This window comes from Homo sapiens, chromosome 6 (genome assembly GCF_000001405.40).
Source record: "Homo sapiens chromosome 6, GRCh38.p14 Primary Assembly".
NCBI classification, from domain to species: domain Eukaryota; kingdom Metazoa; phylum Chordata; class Mammalia; order Primates; family Hominidae; genus Homo; species Homo sapiens.
Window position 1 is genome coordinate 169,273,750 of NC_000006.12, and position 21,559 is coordinate 169,295,308.

A 21,559-nucleotide genomic window follows, 5' to 3' on the forward strand; every position below is an offset into this window, starting at 1 on the left:
AGGCCACCCCAGAAGCAGATGCTGGTGTTATACTTCCTATACAGCCTGAAGAACCATGAGCCAATTAAACTTCTTTTCTTATAAATCACCCAGTCTCACATATTTCTTTAGCAATGCAAGAAGTGCCTAACACAGAAAATTGGTGCTGAGGAGTGGGGCGTTGCTTATAAAGATACCTGAAAACGTGGAAGGAGCTTTGGAACTGGAAGAAATTGGAAGAGTTTGGAGTGCTCAGAAGGAGACAGGAAGATGACAGACAGAAATTTCTTAGAGACTGGCTAAATTGTTGTGATCAAAATGCTGACAGTGATATGGACAATGAAGGCCAGTCTGACAAGGCCTCAGATGGAAATGAGGAACGTATTGTGAACTAGAGCAGGGATCACCCTTGTTATTCTCTAGCAAAGAACCTGGCTACATTCTGTTCATGCTCAAGGATCTGTGGAAGTTTGAACTTGAGAGTGATGACCTAGGGTATCTGGTGGAGGAAATTTCTAAGCAGCAAAGCATTCAAGATATGGCCTGACTGCTTCTAATAGCCTACACTCAGAACAGGCTATGCCTTCTACAGCCTACGCCTATGCAGAAACAAAGAAATGACCTGAAGCTGAAACTTACATTTAAAATGGAAGCAGAGCAGCCAGGTGCGGTGGCTCATGCCTGTAATCCCAGCACTTTGGGAGGCCGAGGCTGGTGGATCATGAGGTCAGGAGATCAAAACTATCCTGGCTAGCATGGTGAAACCCTGTCTCTACTAAAAATACAAAAAAATTAGCTGGGCTTGGTGGCAGGCACCTGTAGTCCCAGCTGCTCAGGAAGCTGAGGCAGGAGAATGGCATGAACCTGAGAGGAGGAGCTTGCAGTGAGCCGAGATCATGCCACTGCACTCCAGCCTGGGCGACAGAGCAAGACTCTGTCTCAAAAAAAAATAATAAATAAATAAAAACAAAAATAAAATGGAAGCAGAGTATAAATATTTGGAAAATTTGTAGCCTGATCATGTGTCAGAGAAAAAAAAAAGCTTCATTAAGAGAGGAATTCAAGCAAGCTATGGGGCAACCACTTGCTAGATATATTTGCATAACTAAAAAGGAGCCAAGACAATGGAGTAAAGGCCTCTGTGACATTTTAGAGATCTCTCAGGCAGCCCCTCCTATCACAGGCCCTGAGAACTAGGATGACTGATTGGTTTCAAGGTCCAGGCCCAGGAAACCACTGCCATGCATCAGCACAGGAAGCTGCTCCTCATATCCCAGCCACTCCAGCTCCAGCCTCAGCTTAAAGGGGCCCAGATACAGCTCAGTTCTCATCTTCAGATGGAACAAGCTCTAAGCCTTGGAAGCTTCCACGTGGTGTTCAGCATGTGAGTGCACAGAGTGCAAGAGTAAATCAGGCTTGGCATTCTCAGCCTAGATTTCAAAGGATGTATATAAAAGCATGGGTGTCCAGGAAGAAGACTGCTGCAGGGGCAGAGCTTCACAGAGAACCCCCCCTAGGGGAGTGCAGAGGGGATATGTGGGGTTGGAGCCCCCACACAGAATCCTCACTGGGGCACTGACTAGTGGAGCTGTGGAAGAGGGGCCACTGCCCTCTAGACCCCAGAAAGGTAGATCCACCAGCAACTTGCATCCTGTGCATGGAAAAGCCACAGACACTCAACAAGCTGTGAGAGAAGCTGCAGGGGCCGAACCATACAAAGCCAAAGGGACAGAGGTTTCCATGGCCTTGGGAGCCCATTCCTTGCACCAATATGCCCTGGATGTGAGACATGGAGTCAAAGGAGATTAATTTGGAGCTTTAAGATTTAATGACTGCCCTGCTGGGTTTCAGAACATGCATGGGGCCTGTAGCCCCTCTTTTTTGGCTGATTTATCCATTTTGGAATGGGAATGTTTGTTAATGTCTATACCCCCTGTGTATCTTGAGAGTAAATAACTTGTTTAACTTTACACATTCATAGGTGGAAGGGATTCATCTCTGGATGAGACTTTGGACTAGAACTTGGGACTTAAGACTTTTGAATTAATGCTGTAATACGTTAAGACTTTAATGGACTATTAGCAGGGCATGATTTTATTTTGCAATGTGAGAAGGACATAAGATTTAGGGGCCCCAGAGGCAGAATAATATAGTTTGAATATTTGTCCCCACCGAAGTCACATGTTGAAATGTAATCCCCAATGTTGGAGGTGGGACCCTGTGGGACGCATTTGGGTCATGGGAGTGGACCCTCATGTCATGGTACTGTTCACATCGTAACAAGTGAGTTCTCATGAGATCTGGTCATTTAAAGGTGTGTAGCACACCGCCCTCCTCCTGGTCTTCTCCCACCACCTGTCCCCCACTTGCCTTCAGCCATGACTGTAAGCTTCCTGAGGCCTCCCCAGAATAAGATGCTGGCACTATGCTTCCTGTACTGCCTGCAGAACTGTGAGCCATTGAACCTCTTTTATAAAAAAATTACCCAGTCCCAGGCATTTCTTTATAGCAATGCAACAAGGCCTAATACAGCACCTAAATTGGAGAAACAAAATTTGTCTTTAAGAGGACATAAATTCAATGTTAAGCATAGACTAATGGAGAGCCTGGGCCGCTACCCAGTCCTTGCTGAGTTTTTAAACTTTCCATTATTAAAAGCTCTGCACTCCATGACTCATCATGGAAAAGATGAACTAATCCAAATTACATATATCTGCATCGATGTAGCTATAGATATATTGGTGGGTGGTGACTGTTCTTAGTTGCTGAAGTAGTTGTGACCAATGTCTGGTTTGTCAAACCCATAATCCTGGAAATCCAGTGAAAACTTCAGGGACATTTCTGCAACCTGTTAGGCCATTTAAACATTTATAGAGGGATTTTATTCAAAATTCATTTTAAATATATGTTTTCTGGTTGTTTAGAAGCTTCCCCATGTCAGAAGGCTGCTGCTATCACAGTAGCTAAAAGGTTATTAGGAAATGTGTTTCCTTTGTGGGGCATTCCAGGAGAAATCTCCAGTGATGGAGGTACTAATTTCACTGGACAAGTTGTAAAACAATTAAGATATCACTGATAAACTAGATTAGGCAAAGCTAAATGAATAGGCTGGATTGCCTTGATCAAAGGGAGTGCAGGTTGATGACAATCAAATCTCTTCCAGTGGAAGACATACATTGACCCCTTATGAAACAGTCACTGAAAGGATTCTGCCCCACTAATGGAACCTCATTTATCTTCTGCTTAAAACTCTCATATGGCTAAAGGATATGAGGCTTTAATGCATTATGCTAAAGTGTATTTCCACCAGGTATAGGAAGTCGTTCATGGTTCCCTGACTGAGGACAAACAATTCAAAATCTAGAACCTGCAGACTGGATCTTCTGGAAATGACATCAAAGAAAGACTGCCCTTGCCACTTACACTGCCACAAAACCTTGGGAACCTCAAATTTTGGGTTCATTATCTCACAGCTGAGAAGGGCCACTCCAGACTCTTGGAACTATATACTTATTGGATTCCTTAAACTAAAACTAACCAGGGAAGTTTCTCCCCAGAAGTAAACAGCATCCTAGATATGGACAGCCTTCCCAGGATCTTTTATCAAGATTCCTCTGCCATGATGAGATGCTACCTCTTTTAATTTTTTCTTTGCTTATGTCTCTCTGAATAATAAAATTGAAAAATGGGTCTTATGTACACTCATGCTTATACTTTTATTTGTGGAGGATTTCGCAGCCAACCACATACATTGGAAACTTTATGCCTTGACTGATGAAATATGAAGGGCCAATGTGGGTAAGGAATTTTAATGGTAGCTTTGTTGCTCCATAATGTCAGAAGAAGAGCATCTATCCACTCCTGTTAACCTGCATCATAGGTCACAGAAATGTGTGACCTTGAGGGCACCATAACCTATGAATGACAGTGCTGGATGGAAACCCAAAATGATGGTAACTGAGAGTGGTGCTAAGGCCCTAAGTTTTGGTCACACTCTCATTTCAGTGAAAACCTGACCAAAAGGGGAGGATTTTTAAGCAAAATTATGGGAGGCCATTGTTTTGGACTGAGCTCATGCACTAGGTCCCAGTAGATCAGACCAAACCAAAATGAAGTCATGCATGTGAAATGCAACATAATTAAGCTGAAACTTTAAAGAAGTAGACAGATCCTAAAACAGACCAGTTTAATTTTTCTCCAGAAAACAGGAGATTCCAGCACACCAAGGAGGTCCCTCTGCTCTAACCTTTACAGAGAAGCCACCTGAGGTAACTAGTTTTTTCCTCCTTTATTGTTTCCTTGTTCCCTCCTTACAAAACCCACTGTTCTGCTATTTCCCAGAGGGATTCGAGACCACTACGTCTATTTACCGTGGTGACAGGGTGATGTCAATGACTAAAGTTTTGATCTACCTCTCAAAACTGAGAGGTGGACTAAAAGTGGAGAAATTATTAAGTTTAGCCTAAAGCTGCCTCTTTACATGTTTTAATTTCAGCCTAAAGGTTTCTCTGTGCATAGTGAACTGCATCCTAACTGGATGTGTAAACAGACTTTAACCTACTCTTGTGCCAATCACCAGAGACGAACTGTTCAAACCATGTTCAAATAAGGCAAAACCAAGCTGTATTGAACCCAGTGTTTCTGCACCTCACTTCTGTTTTGTGTACATTACTTTCCTTTTTCTGTCCACACATGGCCAATCATGTGGCAGCCCCAGAGTCACTCTCAGCTGATTCTGGTTCTAAGGGCTGCCGGATTCATGAATTGTCCTTTGCTCAATTAAACTGTTAGACTTAGTTTGTCTTAAGTTTTCCTGTTAACACAGTACAGGTTCTGTTATTGTTTTATTTTGTTTTGTTTTGAGACTGAGTCTCACTCTGTCACCCAGGCTGGAGTGCAGTGGCACAATCTCAGCTCAAAACAACCTCTGCCTCCTGGGTTCAAGTGAGTCTCCTGCCTCAGCCTCCCGAGTAGCTGGGATTACAGGTGTGCACCACCACACCCAGCTAAGTTTTTGTATTTTTAGTATAGACAGGGTTTCACCATGTTGACCAGGCTGGTCTTGAACTCCTGACCTCAGGTGATCCGCCCACCTCGGCCTCCCAAAGTGCTGGAATTACAGGCGTGAGCCACCACACCTGTTATTGTTTCGTATGAGCAAAATAAATAAGTAGGAAACCAGTAAATAAATTACTATGTACAAAATTTGAGATGAGTGTGGAAGAGTATTTTTAATTTTTGATGTTTAAATTTCTTTTTTTTAACATTGGTGTTAATAAGTGAAAGAAAAGTGATTCGTTCTCTGTTTCCTAGAGTTGATGGCAGAATGATTATTGAATGTACCAAGCAGCATTTGTAAAAGCAAGCACACTTTCTATGCTCTTAAACAAGTCCTTTTCTATGTAACTACAGGATAAAGTAGATATAAATCTGTAACATGAGGATTTTATAGGATGCACAATTTCCCTAGAGTTTCCGTTCATTTTCTGTAGATATGTTTTTTAATATTGTGGCTTATACTGGTTTCCTTTTATTATTCTCAATTCTCATTTGAAAATCATTAATATTTCCAGCTTAAAATTATTATATAGTACACTAAAAGATTTAGTTCAACATAATTGTCAGAAGACTTGTGATCAATGGCAAACCTGTCCAAGACACTTAGCTTCCAACAGGAAAACAAAATTGGTCTATTGAGGAAGAGTGAAGCTGTCAGTCTCAGTTGTAAGAGAATTTTAGATGTCCACACATATTTTCTTAGCTTTAAACAGAGCACAAGTATCCCTCAAATTATAGCAACCCAATCCGCATAAAGTTAAGAATGCATAAAGTTAAGCATTCAATAAACGGAGGAGAAAATAAAATTGCAGGGTTTTGAGGACATTTACCGTCTTGAATATGCACTGTCTTTTCTCCATGGCCAGCTGTTAAAATTTTGCCTGGTGATGGCACAAAGGTGGGAGACCTGGATTCAGGCTCACGTTGACGATCTTGGGTAAAATTTTAACCTCTCAATGTTTTTCCTTCCCCTTCTGCAAAATAGAGATAATTATAGCATTTATCTTGTTAGATCTTTCTGAAGATCAAGGACACAGTGTAAGTTCTTTTTTTTTTTTTTTTTTTTTTTTTTTTGAGACGGAGTCTCGCTCTGTCGCCCAGGCTGGAGTGCAGTGGCGCAATCTCGACTCACTGCAAGCTCCGCCTCCCGGGTTCACGTCATTCTCCTGCCTCAGCCTCCCGAGTAGCTGGGACTACAGGCGCCCATCACCAAGCCCCGCTTATTTTTTGTATTTTTAGTAGAGACGAGGTTTCACTGTGTTATCCAGGATGGTCTCGATCTCCTGACCTCATGATCCACCCGCCTTGGCCTCCCAAAGTGCTAGGACTACAGGAGTGAGCCACCGCGCCCGGCAGACAGTGTTAAGTTCTAAATGTTGCATTCAGTAATCCCTGATAAACATTCGTGACCATTACCACCATCATTACCTGATGCACAGGGCCAGACATACACATTCCTTTTAAAGCCTTCTCTAATTTTTAAATGCTTTACCCAATGTTGTTCTTCAAACCTTGCAAGGAAAAAGGAACCCAGTGTTGTGTGGGTAACTGAATGAATAGCAAGGACTGGATTTGTATATGTTTGTATCCTCACTCGCTAATCATGATTCATCACCCAGATTAGAACTTAGTTTCAATTCTCTGGGGAAAACATTAGTTTTATATTGGTTGCATGAATTTTATTTATTGGCTGAACGAAGCTTTCTAATAGTAGTTTAATATTTCCTTGTAACCTTAGCAAACCACCCCAGTCCACTCCTCCAGACATAGAACATATCTCATTCCCTTGGAGATATACTTACTAAGGGTCCACTTGGCTTAGGCCACAATGCCACCAAATGTCAAACATTTAGGCCTGTAGATGCAGGTCCGGAGATGGGGAGAAGTCCATTAGATTAGGAGTCCCAGGCACATCACTGCCTAATTACATAAACCTCAAACTCGGGTGCCACCATTTTCTCAGCGTTAAGACAAAACCAATGGCAGATGATCCATTTTCCTGCTCGTGCTAGACTTCTCTGAGGTATAGAGTTGCACTATTACATGTCACAGCTTTCATGCTGAAGTCCATGTCTTTATTCAGCATCTTACAATAACATCTACCAGGGAGGAGTGAAAAGAACGAACCCCAGTACTTCCTTCCGCCCTACGCAGCACCATCAATAGCTTCTTCCTTGGTGTCTTCGGAAGGTTAGAAGCAGCTGTTGATCCATGTTCAGTGGCTTTTCTCCGAGTAGTAGCATGTATGCACTGCATTTTTGTGTTGACCAATAGATAATCTAGATGATATTGACTATATACCACTTAAACAAAAATGTAAGAAGTAAATAACATCAGAAAAATTTGTGGAACTAATATAGACTGTAATCTTTATTTCTTCATTAAAAGAGTACTCAATGTAATTATGTTAGTGATGACTTGTGAGGTTTGAACCAACATTGCCACTCAGTTGGCACTGTCTGCCTGGCTCCTCCTACTTCATGCACCAGCTTGCTGTCTAAAGAAATGGGACGCTAACACAGCTATGATTTATGATTTCCTTGGAAAACATGAATTTTATAAATCCTGTCAAATAAATTGCATTGTCTCCTAAAATTCCTATTCAACTTTACTAAAAAAGTATTACAACAGGGTAGGATTGTTACTCATAGTCCTGTGATTGGGATGTAGGTGTCATGAAACTATGTTTTTGAGATATTAATAGACATTCTTTGGGAAAAGTGGTGCTAGTGATTTCTTTCCAAGATGTTCCATGAGACATGGCAGATGCATTTGTAGCTGTTCTTGTCATTGCGTGATGTTCTCTCTGCAGGATGACTCCTGTGCGTGAATGTATGACCTGAGCAGTATCTACAAACCATCCGTTCTCCAGAGATGAGTGCAGGGGAGCTGGCCAGATGCTTGCCTGGAGATTTCATTCATGGGAAGTGTCAAAATATTCCCAGAAATGCACAGTAACATAGAAAGTAGAATACTGGATGTTCGAAAGGATTTCTTTGATAAACTTCTTGGAGTTTGCCATAAAACCCAGGGGAACTCTTCAAATGACAAGCTTGGTACCAAAATGGTCTTTTGAAAAGAACAAGATTGGTTAAATAGTCACTGTTTTTGGCAGAGTGGCGTACTTAGGATTGGATTACCGCTCAACTTCAAAATCGTATGGCCTGTGACCATGGACACCCACCCTCTCTTGGGGTCTGCAGGCCAGCTCAGCGGGGACTGTCAGGATGGGCTCCAGGAAGCAGGGTGTGTTCAGGTCTGTCTCTTACTTCCTCATTCCCCTTAGACCTGCACCTACCAGGCTTGTCACCAAGGCACAAGGGAATGAGCGAGAACCAGCCATACCCCCGAGACCTCGCCCCAAACCAACCACTGTCATTTCTGCTCACACTCTGAGACCAAGCAAGTCTCCGGGCCAAGCCCAGCATCCCCGGTGCAGGGAAGCACATCCCTCCATCTTCACGGACGTGTCCAAAGCCGCGCGGCAATCAGTGTGGTGGGAAGAACAGGGCACTTGACCACCTGACGCACGAACTGGGAGGGCTCCCACTCTGTCTCCACGCCACACGTAGCTTCTCTATACAGATGCTGGGCAAAAATAGGAAGCATGTTGATCTGAATCCTGTATCAAATGATGGAGACCAGCAGACGTGTTGATCATTAAGGCTTCAGCAGCGTTCCCAGCATAACTGACTAAATGGCGAAAGACACCTTGATGTTCAAAACCTCCTGAGCTACCCAGCCATTCTTCTGAAGAAGATTAGGGCTACTGCACGCGAACCCTTGAACAGTGTCTCAATTATTTACATTCTGGTTGTGATAGAAAACTTGGAAAATAGAAGAAAGAATTAAAATATTAATCAATAATTGGCGGCCCCTCCATCCAGAGATCACCTCTGTTCGCATTTTCAAATATTCCTTCCGTTTGCTCTGCTATGCATATTGCTATACATAATTCTCACCATATTTCAAAAATAATTTTAATAGTCAACATTGACCAAAAACTGTTTACATTAAGTTTATTATGAACTAATTTTCCCCAAATAAGAGTTAACTTACTGACATAGTTCCTTGGGAAGAGAATGTGTTTTTTTTACTAAAAATAATACAATTGCTAAGAAAATACAGAAAATAGTTCAGTGTAATTTAGTACAACTATGCTATCTTAGTCATTGACATCTTTGTGTGATGTTCCCAGCTTCCTCTGTAAAGGTAAGTCCTGTGGCAGCCGCCTTCATCGGGAATGGGCAGGAGACAGTGCCCCTGCCTGCAGCATTCGACACACCAGGGACAGAACATCCTGACCGCCAGCTTCATGGAAGACAATTTCCATATCTACCACTTAAGTCTAGAGGTTCTCTATCTCTTGTTTACATGTGCAACTCCCTGAAGATAAAAACCTGTTAGATTCATTAACTAATTACTGTCTACTATGTGCATAATATGCTGTTAGAAGTTAAAAATATGCATATTTTAATTTATATTTTAAATATAATACTAAAAACATCTTGTACTACAGGAGTGTAGGAATATTACTAAGAATTAGAAAAAGTAGAGAAACAAAGTCTTTGTGGCAGGAGGCCAGCCTGGCTTCAAAGACTTCACAACTGGAAATAACCCTTAAAGGTGGTGATGTCCTCCACAGGCGACACGATGGGAGGAGAAAAACGCATGAACCAGGGACAGACAGACAGGTGTGCATGGCACATCCAGGCAACAGGATGCGCAGGTGTCCCCAGGACACAGGTGAATGGGAGGGCATGAGGAGATGAGGCTGTGGCAGCAAGACAGGCATCGAAGGACGTTGTACGCAGAGGAGCTGAGCCTTAACCATGTCACCCATGGGTTCTGGGGTTTGCTTCTCTGTGTTAATATCTTTGGGTTTTTTCAGATGTGTAATACGTACACATGGTAAGAAATTAAAAGCAAATCCAAAAGCTATGTCTGTGAAATGTAAGAAGGTAAGAAGGGAAGCCTCTCTCCCAATAAGCACTCCTGAATGTAAGTTTCTCATTGTCACACTTTCTTTCTCCAGGAAGCAACCGCTACTGCCAGTGTCTGGTATGCATCCTCTCAGAGGTGATGCACATACACACACACACACACACACACACACACACACACACAAAACCACACACACACATACACAAACATACACACATACAAACACACAAACACATACACAAAAAACCCACACACACACACACAAACATACACACATACAAACACACAAACACACACATACATATACAAACACAAACATACACAAGCACACACACGCACACATACACAACACAAGCACATACACAAACACAAACACATGAACACACAAATGCACACACATACAACACACACACACATAAATGCACATACACAAACATACTCATATATACATACATACACAAACACACATAACCACACAAAAACACACATACACACACATACACAAACACAGACACACACATACAATCACACACCTACACAGGCACACACATAGCCAAATAAAAACACACAAACATACATGTGGATGCACATATAAACATGCACATACACACACACATAAATGCACAAACACACTTAACACAAGCACACATGCAAACAAACACATGGACACACAAATACATATACACATACACACCTAAGCACACAAATGCATGCACACACACATTCCCATAAATAGTAGCACACTGTAGACAATTTTTTGCAATGGACCTTTTCACTTAACAATCATGTCAGGTTAGGTTTCCCTGACCTAAACTCAATAAGTGCTAATGCATAATTGATGTATTATGATGGCACTTGGACCAGGCCTGGTGGGTCGCACCTGTAATCCCAGCACTTGGTGAGGCCGAGGAAGGAGGATTGCATGAGCCCAGGAGTTCAAGACCAGCCTGGGAACATAGCGAGACCCTGTCTACACACACACACACACACACACACACACACACACACACACACACACACAAAATTAGCAGGGCATGGTGGTGTGCACCTGTGTTCCTAGCTACTTGGGAGGCTGAGGTGGAAGAATCGCTTGAACCTGGGAGGTCAAGGCTGCAGTGAGCTGGAGCCCTCCAGCCTGGGTGACACAGCAAGACTCTGTCTCAAAAAAAAAAGAAAAATTGTGCTCCCTCCAAAATACAGAGAGGAATGGGAGAGACAGGACAGGAAAGCAGGAACGCCATGCAAGGCTGTAATTCCAGGTGAAGTCCTACAGCGGCAAGATAGGCTATATAATTTGCAAAGCTCGATGCAAAACAGAAATTTCCCCTGCTGAAGAATCACTGAGGCAGTGAAGGCAGGGCCTGAAACTGAAAAGGGCTTTTGTGGTGCTGACTGTGACCACACACACGCTGCAGCCCCTGAGCTGACCGTGCCTGGCTCTGATTCTGCAGAGGAATCCTGGACACGAGTGGCACCTCTGAGCGTGTCCCTCACTTGAGGCAAGGGGCAGGGTTTTCACAGCTCACACTGATTGATCAGTGCCAGCTCAGGGCCCCTGCCAGTGCTCTCCTGCACTGCCAGCTCCAGAGTCCCAACAGGAGCCTCTTCTAGAGCAGCAGGTGCTGGCTGTGAGGGCAGAAGCAGAGTGAGCTGACCAGCAGTGCACCAGACATGGGGGAGGAGTCTGAGGAGCTCAGGGTCTGAGCAGGACAAGGGCAGTGTCTGTCACAGCTGTGTATCCTGGAGACCCCCCCATATCTGTACAGAAAGCATCGTGCATTATTTGCAGTGATTGCAAACTTCTGTTCAACCAGTGACCCCACTGATGGGCCTTTGGATGTTTCCAGGCTTTTGGTGGCATACACCATACTGTGATGATTATCCCTATTTTTGTGTCATTTCACACTTATGACAGTTTTGTCATAGGATACTGGACCAAAGAGTATGAGAATTTTTTTTAAATTTCAATAGCTTTAGGAGTACAAGTGGTTTCTGGTTCCATGGATTAATTGCGTGGTGGTGAAGTCTGGGCTTGTAGTGTACCCATCACCCAAATAGTGTACAAAGTATCCACTAGATAATTGGAAGAAATCTAGAAGCAACACATTACCCAACTTCAAATTATACTACAAGGCTATAATAACTAAAGCAGCATGGTATTGTTATAAAAGTAAATACATAGCCCATGGAACAGAATAAAGAGCCCAGAAATAAAGCCAAATACAACCAACTGATCTTTGATAAAGAATAGAAAAACATAAATTGGAAAAAGGACACCCTATTCAATAAATGGTGCTTGGAAAACTGGGTAGCCCCATTTCGAAAACTAAAACTGGATCCCTATCTCAGGCCATATACAAAAATTAACTCCAGATGAATTAAAGACTTAAATCTAAGATCTGAAGCCATAAAAATTGTATAACGAAACTTAGAAAAAAACTCTTTTAAACATTGGTCTGCCAAAGGATTTATGACTAAGATCTCAAAAGCAAATGCAACAAAACCAAAAATAAATAAATAAAGTTGCCTCTATCAGCCTCAGAGAAAATATATTTGGAAACCAACTTACAAAAGCTATTGAAAGCTATTGTTTCATAAACAGAGGGAACACAGGAGTCAATGATGCTTACACTTTATGAACCTCACTGCTATTATATTTTAAGATGTTCGCCTGGAGTTCCATTAAGAGAAAAAGCAGCTCTGAAGATCACATTGGAAGGTTTCATCTGACAGGTGAGGGCAGTCCCTTCAGGATGTTCCCATAAAATGAGGCACAGAGAAGATGAGGAGGCCCAGACACATTTCTCATGGAAAACTGTCTTTATGAGTTAAAGACACACAGAATAAGAGTAAACATGAGCATTAAAGAGCAATTACAAGCACCTAAAACTATAAAAGAGAAATATCAATCTGCAACTCCAAACAGTTCAGCCACTGGTCAAACATTGAAGATGAGAGTGTGAACAGTGGATGTGTCTTCATTGATTTCCCTTTTAATTTTATTCTAAGGCCTGGAATGCACCACCTAGGGGAGACATTTGATTAAAAATGTATTTATTCTTAGTATGTAAATCGTGAAAATGTTATTAGTCAACTATACCGTATTGTAAATTAATCTAATTATATTGTTTTATTCCTATTTATCAATTTATGATCAATATTATGCTAAAGCGACCAGGAAATAGAAGCATACATTAATCTACGTGATTGTGTGGATAAATCAGATAAGTTGATGTATTATTAGGAGTATGATTACTTTCTGTGAGCCATGATTAGGTCAGACAGAGAGAAAGGTCCAAATAACATTTGCTTACATGGAATACACTTTCTTTTTTCTCTGCCTGCAATGTTGGGTACGTGGCCTAGGCTCCTGTACTCCCCGGTGTGTGTTCTGGGGCTGCTCTGTCTCAGTGATACGCCATGTGTTGACTCAGTTCCCAAGTCTGCCTCGTGCTCCAAGAACATGCCGGCATTCCACCCTGCAGGAGGGACAGCAGAGGGGAGAGGGCAGACCGCTTTCTTTAAGAATGCATCCCAGAAGTTGATATTGTATTTCCACGTATATCTCTTTGATCAGATCTAGTACAGGGTGAGTATCCCTAATCAGAAAATTTCACATTCAAAATGCTCCAAAATCTAAAACCTGAGCACCAACATGACTCTCAAAGGCAATGCTCATTGGAGTATTTCAGATTTTGGACTTTCTGATTTGGGATGCTCAACTGGTAGTATAATGTAAATATTCCAAATTCCAAACAAATCCCAAACCTGAGACATTTCTGGTCCCAAGCATTTTGGGAAAAAGACACAACATATACAAAGCCCTAAGTCCCTGCAAAGGAGGCTGAGAACTGTAAACTGCATTCCTGGTAGACATTTGTCCATGGTGTTAATTTTCCATGGCTGCTGTGACAAATGACCCAAATGTGTTGGCCTTAACACACTTATATCTTATAGTTCTGGAAGTCAAAAGTCTAAGATCTGTTTCTCAACTCCAAATGCTCCCTCCAGAGTCTCCTGGGGGCAAGTGTTCCCTCCAGAGTCTCCGTGGGGGCAAGTGTTCCCTCCAGAGTCTCCGTGGGGGCAAGTGCTCCCTCCAGAGTCTCCGTGGGGGCAAGTGCTCCCTCCAGAGGCTCCATGGGGGGCAAGTGCTCCCTCCAGAGGCTCCAAGGGGGAAGTGCTCCCTCCAGAGGCTCCATGGGGACAAGTGCTCCCTCCAGAGTCTCCGTGGGGGTAAGTGATTCCTTCAGAGGCTCCCTGGGGACAAACGCTCCCTCCAGAGACTCCATGGAAGGAAGGGCTACCTCCAGAGTCTCCATGCGGGCAAGTGCTCCCTCCTGAGGCTCCGTAGGGGCTTCGGAGGCCCTCTGGGGACAAATGCTCCCTCCAGAGACTCCATGGAAGCAAGTCCTCCCTCCAGGGGCTCCATGGAGGCATCTGCTTCCTCACCCCTTCCCACTTCTCAGGCTCCTTGGCTCATAGCCCCTTTCTCCACCCCCAGTCCAGCAGGGTAGCATTGAGTCTCAGTGGGGACCGCTCCCCACCCTGTGCTGTCAATATCCTTCCACCTGCCTCTCATAAAGACACGCGTGGCTGCTTTTAGCCCCCACGTGTGTTAGCCCCCATGTGTGTAACCCAGGAGAATTCCCCATCTCAAGATCCTTAATCACAAAAGTCTCTTTTGCCACGTAGAGTAACAGACACAGGTTCCAGGGATTAGGACCTAGGTATCTTGGGGACTGTTATTCAGCCTACTAAGTCCACTAGAATTATTTGGGGACTGAGGAAGAAGAAGCCGGGAATGCTAGAGCTCCAGGGGCTTTTGCTGCAGAGAGGAAGCTGGAGTCTGGGGACGAAGGCCGGGCAGAACTGGAGAGACGAGGTGGGGACAGGAAAGACCCCTGGCCCTGACCCTGTCCTCAGCCACCCTCCCTCCTGTGCAGGGAGAGCTTGCGTCCCTCTGGAGTAGGAGGCTGTGTGGAGAAGCCTCTGATGAGTGAGGAACAGGATGTGCCAAGAGAAACCTCCCCTGAGTCACTGCTCTCCTCGGCACAGGGCCGGTCCTACCCACTTGCCACGTCTTTTCCAGAAAGTCAAGGGATAAAGATTAATATTTCACGATGCCTTTGAAGCAGCCAGAATTCCACACAGCGCCCCTGCCTGCCTAGGCCTTCTTCTGACTCTTCAAAGTGGAGCGGACACGAGTCCCAGGCCCCCTGGAGGCAGTGGCCTGGAGGTCTTGCTCTCCCTTTCATCTCCATCCAGGACGGGGACAGCAGCTGCCCCTTGACCCCCTCGGCCCTCCTGTTCCTGGTCACTGCTGGGTGAGCCTCTGCTTCCAAGCAATTGGGGACCCGGAGCTTGTCACCAGTTTGAGTACAGGGATGTGAGTACCGTGGAATCTATCCACAAGCCAGAGCCAAGCTCAGTGGGAACAAATGGCTGGAGTGCTTCAAAGACAGAACATTTTCTATCATTTTCCTCTCGTGGGGCGTCACCCAACCACACTGCGCTATTGCATTTGGGGCAGATGCAAAGGTGGCCCTCAGCTGCAATGTTTAACCTCATGCGAGGCAAAGAGGTAAATCTCTCTTCCTTCATAAAAGAACACAGAAAGCAAGTCAGCGCACTCTCCAATTGAACAGACTTTGAGGACGAGACTCATCTACAGTGTCTTATTTTCTCATTGCTCTGTGTGGTCTACGTTCTGAGGAAAGGAGAGTGAGGTCATGTTATAACCATTTGCAGTTCCATCTTTCCAGAAAAAAGGAAAAGTTATTTCCTGCTGAGTGTCTAGAGTCCTCAGCCCCAGGAGGGGAATCTGATGGAAAATTTGACACAATAAATAATTAATCTTATGACGTACAACAAAAATTCTAATTCCAGATTATCCCTGAAACCCAATGTTATTGAAAGTGTCCCTGGCGTCATCAGCATGTACGTGATCCGGGACTCTAGGCATTGGTTTGCCTGCGATTTCTCCACCTTACACATAGAGCACAGCCCAAGCATGTGCCTCCCGCGGTTCTAGGGGCTGAGCACACCCTGGACTGAGATGGACAAAGCCGTTCTCTTCCGCTGTTTAGGGCTGAGTCATTGAGCAAGTGATTACACGTGGAGTAAACGCTGGGGGTAAGCAGGTGCGAAGGGACACGAATCCAGAATGCATAAAACCAGTTACAACAGCACATGCCATTTCATTCTGATCCACAGGTGTTCTGATATACCCATGACTCAAGGCTCTGCAGAGATAAAGCGAGAACAGAGCTGTTATTCATTACATATTTGATTTAAAAGACTCTTTAACACAGTTCCAACATGTTTATCTTCCAAAGGAAGAGAAATCTTGGACGGCATAAGTAGCCCGTGGTTGAATTCCCTCCGGCATCCCAGGCTCTGCTGTACAAAGTATCATATTCCTGGCTAGCCCACCTCCTGTCCAAACCGCCTCCACCAACCAGCTCTCCTCATTCCTTCTGGTCAGGCCCTTGGGCTTGCGTTTTCCAAGCCACAGATTTCTGTATGAGTTATTTCCTTCCCTAAACCAAGCAGAGCTTGCACCATTACTGGGTTCTGCCACATCATCCTGATAGAAAATAACTCCTTGAAAACAACCCCCAGCCTTCTCTGATGCCCAGGAGACTAATGGGTACTCGGCTTAACACTTGGATGACAAAATAACCTGCACAACAAACCCCCATGGCACAAGTGTACCGATAGAACAAACCTGCACGTGTGCCCCTCAACTTAAAAAAACAAAAGTTAAATTTAAAAAAAGTCTTGTGAGGGCCGGGAGTTGTTTCATAGCATTATTGTCTATCGGCATGTCGCAGGGAAGAGCGGGAAGGATGGGAACTGGAGGAACTTGCCGAAGGCCACACAGCTCGTGTGGGATTTTCATCCCAGCCCTCCATGATCTGGGTTGCTTTCAAGTTCGTTTCAGTGAATTTATGTAAATCATCTGTTTCTCTTCCCTACCACACAACTACCAGAATATACATATCATTCAAAAACAGGTTTCATTGAGCATAGATCTGGTCTATTTGGTTCTTTAAACCTCGAGTGGCTGTTCATTGGCCAACAGATGAACAAGAGCTTTCTTAGAAGAACGCTTAAGAATCTTTACAACCTGCCACCACCAACTTGAGTGCCTGTGTCCTCGGCGCATGAATTGACTTGCTGAGCTGCAACCTCTCTGGTCTTTCTTCTGTGCTGTGCGGCTCCCTCCCCCTTGAGCCTCTTCCCCACTCCCAGGCCCACTCATCTGGTTTCCACTGTCTTGGCCTTCAAGACTCAGCTTACTGCAAATTCCTCTAGGAAGCGCCTCCCTGTTCCGAAAGATGGGTACAAGTGCCTGTCTTCATCCCTCTGGCTGCTATCACAAAATACCATAGATTGGGTGGCTCCTAAACAACAAAAATGTGTTCCTCACAGTTCTGGAAGCTGGCTGGGAATTTCAAGATCAAGGTGCCAGTAGACTCGGCGTCTGGGCGGCTTCCTTGTTCATAGATGGTAACCTCTGTGTGCATCCTCGCATGGCAGAAAGGGCAGAGGAGCTCTCTGGGACTCTTATAAATGCACTGATCCCGTTCATTGGGTTCCATCATCATGACGTCATCACCTCCTGAACGTCCCACCTCCTAATGCCATCCCCCTGGAAAGAGGGGCTTCCAACACCTGGATTTCATGGGAATACAGACATTCAAGCCACTGAGTGCCCCTTCTCTGCACTTCACAATACCCTACGTTCTCCAAACCTCGGCACCTGCTATGATACATCAAGCTGCTTCCTTCCTTGTCTGATATAGGGACTGGGCCATCAGTCTATTCATTTCCTAATTGCTGCCCTGCTTACCCGTTCATCTTCAATGTCTTGTTTACGTTTAATTTTCTAAACTTACCTCCTCATTATCTAACAAACGTCCACCCCTCTTTCCAACCCCGCATGCTGCCCTTCTATTACGAAGATGATCACATCACGATACCCTCTTGCTCCCACTTTGGGAAGAACTTCTGGTTCTTTGCTAACATGCATGTCACTCCTGGCCAGGCTCTGCACTGGTCCTTCAGCGTCATGGCTCAGCTATGGGCCCACATTCCTCTCAGACTGTGGCCACCTTGCATTTTCATAAAACCAGGGCTGGTGACTTCTGACCCTGGCAGGAATTGTGTCCCAGGAATTATTAACCCTGCCCTGTGCTAGGGCACTCCCTGAAGGCGGGCCCAGTGAGAATCATGCGGAATAGTTTATTCAGACTGTGGGGGGCAAAGGTTTAGCTGAGGGCATCTAAGAATATGATTTAAAAAGTGCTGAAAATGTTTAATCAACATGAGAACATGACCACTGTCCCTTCAGTACTGACTCGCCCTCATCCTCTCGTCTTCTGAGCCCACACTTTGTCTTCTGGATTTACCACTGACCTTGTGTGAGGCCGGGACAGCAGAAGCCATGGCTCCCAGGGCCTCTGACACCCCTGTCACTGGCAGGGGCGCCTCCCCCGTGTTTAGGTTTTATTGTGGAAGTGCAAAGCCCGCTCTGACTGCTTACCTTTGTGTCATTTTATCCTATGACACTCATTTTATCCCATGTGGTCGGTCTCATTGCTGTGCTTGGAGTGGGGACAAGGCATTTAAAGCAGGAATTCATTGCATGATGGTGATGAAAAGTCTTCTTTCCTTTTCATAGCCTTTCACTTCCTCATTTAAACCGTTTATCCCCTGCAAAGCTAAAAATCAGTAACACGCTTCTCAGTACACTCCAGCTTCAGTGATCACCCTGTGCTGTGAAAACATTGTGTATCAGAGGGATTGCACCCCATGAGCTCATTCATATTTACACAACATTTTTAGATTTAGATGCCATCCTCAGGAGCAAGGTATTTGCCCCAGAGATTGCGTCTGGGAGCGCGGGCCCTGCAGAAGCATGGAGAGCGGAGGCCTTTGTACCAGGACATCTCACAGGCCCACTCTGCCTCAGTGGTGTTGACCCAGAGCTCACCCCCAGCCCCCGGCACCCTGCAGCAAGAGGCCATCCTGGTTGTGCAATCAGCCTTGTGGAAGCGATCTCCTCACTCAGGAAATATGATCCAATCTCCCTCTGCTAGGTGACTCATCTCCAGGCTTTCATCTTCTTGACAGGCAGGGTTTTGTCTGTAGCTGCCTCAAAATATTCTTTCCATTTCATCATAGTTTAATATTTTATAGACTTGTGTTCTTCAACAAGTAATTAAAACCATCCTTAGCCTCTCAGGATACAAGTCCATTGAGAAAAGTCTGATAAGATGCTTCCGGATATTACACACGGCCATTGTATGTGCTCAAACATTTTACGTTACTCATCTGACATCTAAGTTTGACATTTAAACTTTAAAAGGGGGGCTTTATTACCAAACAACTACTAAAAATGATTAAAACCTTCAAAGGAGTTACCAATAAGAACATTGTATAAATATGACTAAATCAGATGATTTTATTCCTTTATTGCAGGATAATAATTAGAATTAGGTGGATTGAAGTCAAAATCCCAGAACAAAACATATTCTTTGCTCTCATGAATTTCTTACAGTTTAAATAATTTTTGCACTGATGTCAACACCATTTCTAAGGTGAAGTTTCCTTACATGAAAACAAAACAGAAGAGTTCCACGATTTCAAACATTCTACAAAAATTTCCTCAGTACAGATATATTTCATAATCACCCAGATATACTCCAATGTGTGAATGATTCTTAAGTCAAAGAAATAGCATCAGCTCAAGCTCTAATTCCCTTTTCTCATCTTTTGAACTCTCAATGCTACTCTCCATGGTGGCTGTTTAAATCTGTATCTTTCCTAAAAATAACTCAAAGAATCCACGTGTAAGAAATGGACTTTGTGTATATATATGTATATTTGTATATATATATATGTGTGTGTATATATATATTTGAGATGGACTCTCACTCTTGTCACTCAGGCTGGAGTGCAATGGCATGATCTCGGCTCACTGCAACTTCTGCCTCCTGGGTTCAAGTGATTCTCCTGCCTCAGCCTCCCAAATAGCTGGGATTACAGGTGACACCACCATGCCCGGCTAATTTTTTTGTGTTTTTCATAGAGACGGGGTTTCACCATGTTGGCCAGGCTGGTTTTGAACTCCTGACTTCAAGTGATCACCCGCCTCAGTCTCCCAAAGTGCTGGGATTACAGGCATAAGCCACTGCACCCTGCTCTGGACTTGATAGTTTTAATGGAATATGTCGAGGTATAATTGACCTACTGTGTAATGCATATATTTTATGTGTATAGTCAATGAGTTTTGACAAATGATATGCAGAATTATCACCACCACCATCAAGATACAGAGCATTTCATCACCCAGACATGCTCACGTGCCCCACTGCCAAACTCCCTGACAGACTTGGCCCCAAGAAAATACTGATTTGCCATTGATCACTATACATTCATTTTTCCTTTGCTAGATTTTCTTATAAATTGAATTATACAATATTTGACCTTTTGTTTGGTTTTAACTTTAAAACCTTTATTGGTGTATGATGAAAATAAAATAATCAGCATATATTTATATTGTACAATTTGATTAATGTTGGCATATGTGTATCTATGAAACTATCAACACAACCAAAATAATGAATGTAGCCATCATCCCCAGAAAGATTCCTCCTGCCTTTGTGTCTGTGGCCCTTCTCCCTGGCACCTCCCTGCCTCCCTTAAGCCTTCGGAAGTCACTAGTCCACTTTCTGTCACTGTGGCTTGCTTGAATTCTCTGCAGTTTTATGTGAGTGGAATCATACCATGTGCGCTCTTTCCTGTCTGCCTTCTTTCCTCCAGCATGCAACTATTTTGAGATTCATTCATGCTGTTGAAGGTTTCAGTTGTCTGTATTATTTTATTGCCAAACAGTATTTCATTCTACGGATATTCCAAAATCTGTTTACCCATTCACCTTTTGATAAAATTTTTAGCTGTTTCCAGTTTTTGACTCTCACAAATATAGCTGCTATGAATGTTTACACCCAAATCTTTATTAAGGCAAACCTTACATTTCTCCTGGGTAAGCACTAAGGGTCAGAAAAACCAGACAATCTGGGGAGTGGCTGTTTAGCTTTTGACAGAACTGCCAAACTGTTTTCCAAATTGATGGTATCATTTCACGTTTCCGATAGCAGTGTGTGGGAGTTCTAGTGACTGACTACACGTTCTCAGCAACACTTCGGCCAGTCTCTCCAGTTATAACCATTCTCACAGGTGTGTGGTGTCTTTCTGCATGGTTTTAATTGGCATATCTCTGATCTTTAATAATGTAGAGCACTTCTTAATGCACTTTTAAATGCAGTGAGCTTGAATATACGACAACAAAAACTTCCAAACTAAAATGAAAATAGGAAAACAAATGAAAACTGGAACAGAATATCAAAGGACTTGGGAATAAATTTAAAAGATTTTATACGCATATCATTAGACTACTAGAAGGAAAAGGAGAAACTGGAGAAGAAATATTTGAAATAATAATTACCAAGGATTTTTCAAATTTAATGACAGACATTAAACCACAGATCCAGAAAGCTCAGAGGACACC

General features: G+C 43.7%; 2 annotated features.

Moving 5' to 3' along the window:
* Positions 11,015-11,516: an enhancer, noted in NCBI's record as "H3K4me1 hESC enhancer chr6:169684859-169685360 (GRCh37/hg19 assembly coordinates)". NCBI's record gives its function as "activates a minimal SCP1, AML or CMV promoter by ChIP-STARR-seq in primed H9 embryonic stem cells {active_cell/tissue: H9 hESC(primed)}" and the evidence as "EXISTENCE:reporter gene assay evidence [ECO:0000049][PMID:30033119]".
* Positions 18,941-19,141: a silencer, noted in NCBI's record as "peak6324 fragment used in MPRA reporter construct". NCBI's record gives its function as "represses an SCP1 promoter by STARR-seq MPRAs in K562 erythroleukemia cells {active_cell/tissue: K562}" and the evidence as "EXISTENCE:reporter gene assay evidence [ECO:0000049][PMID:32103011]".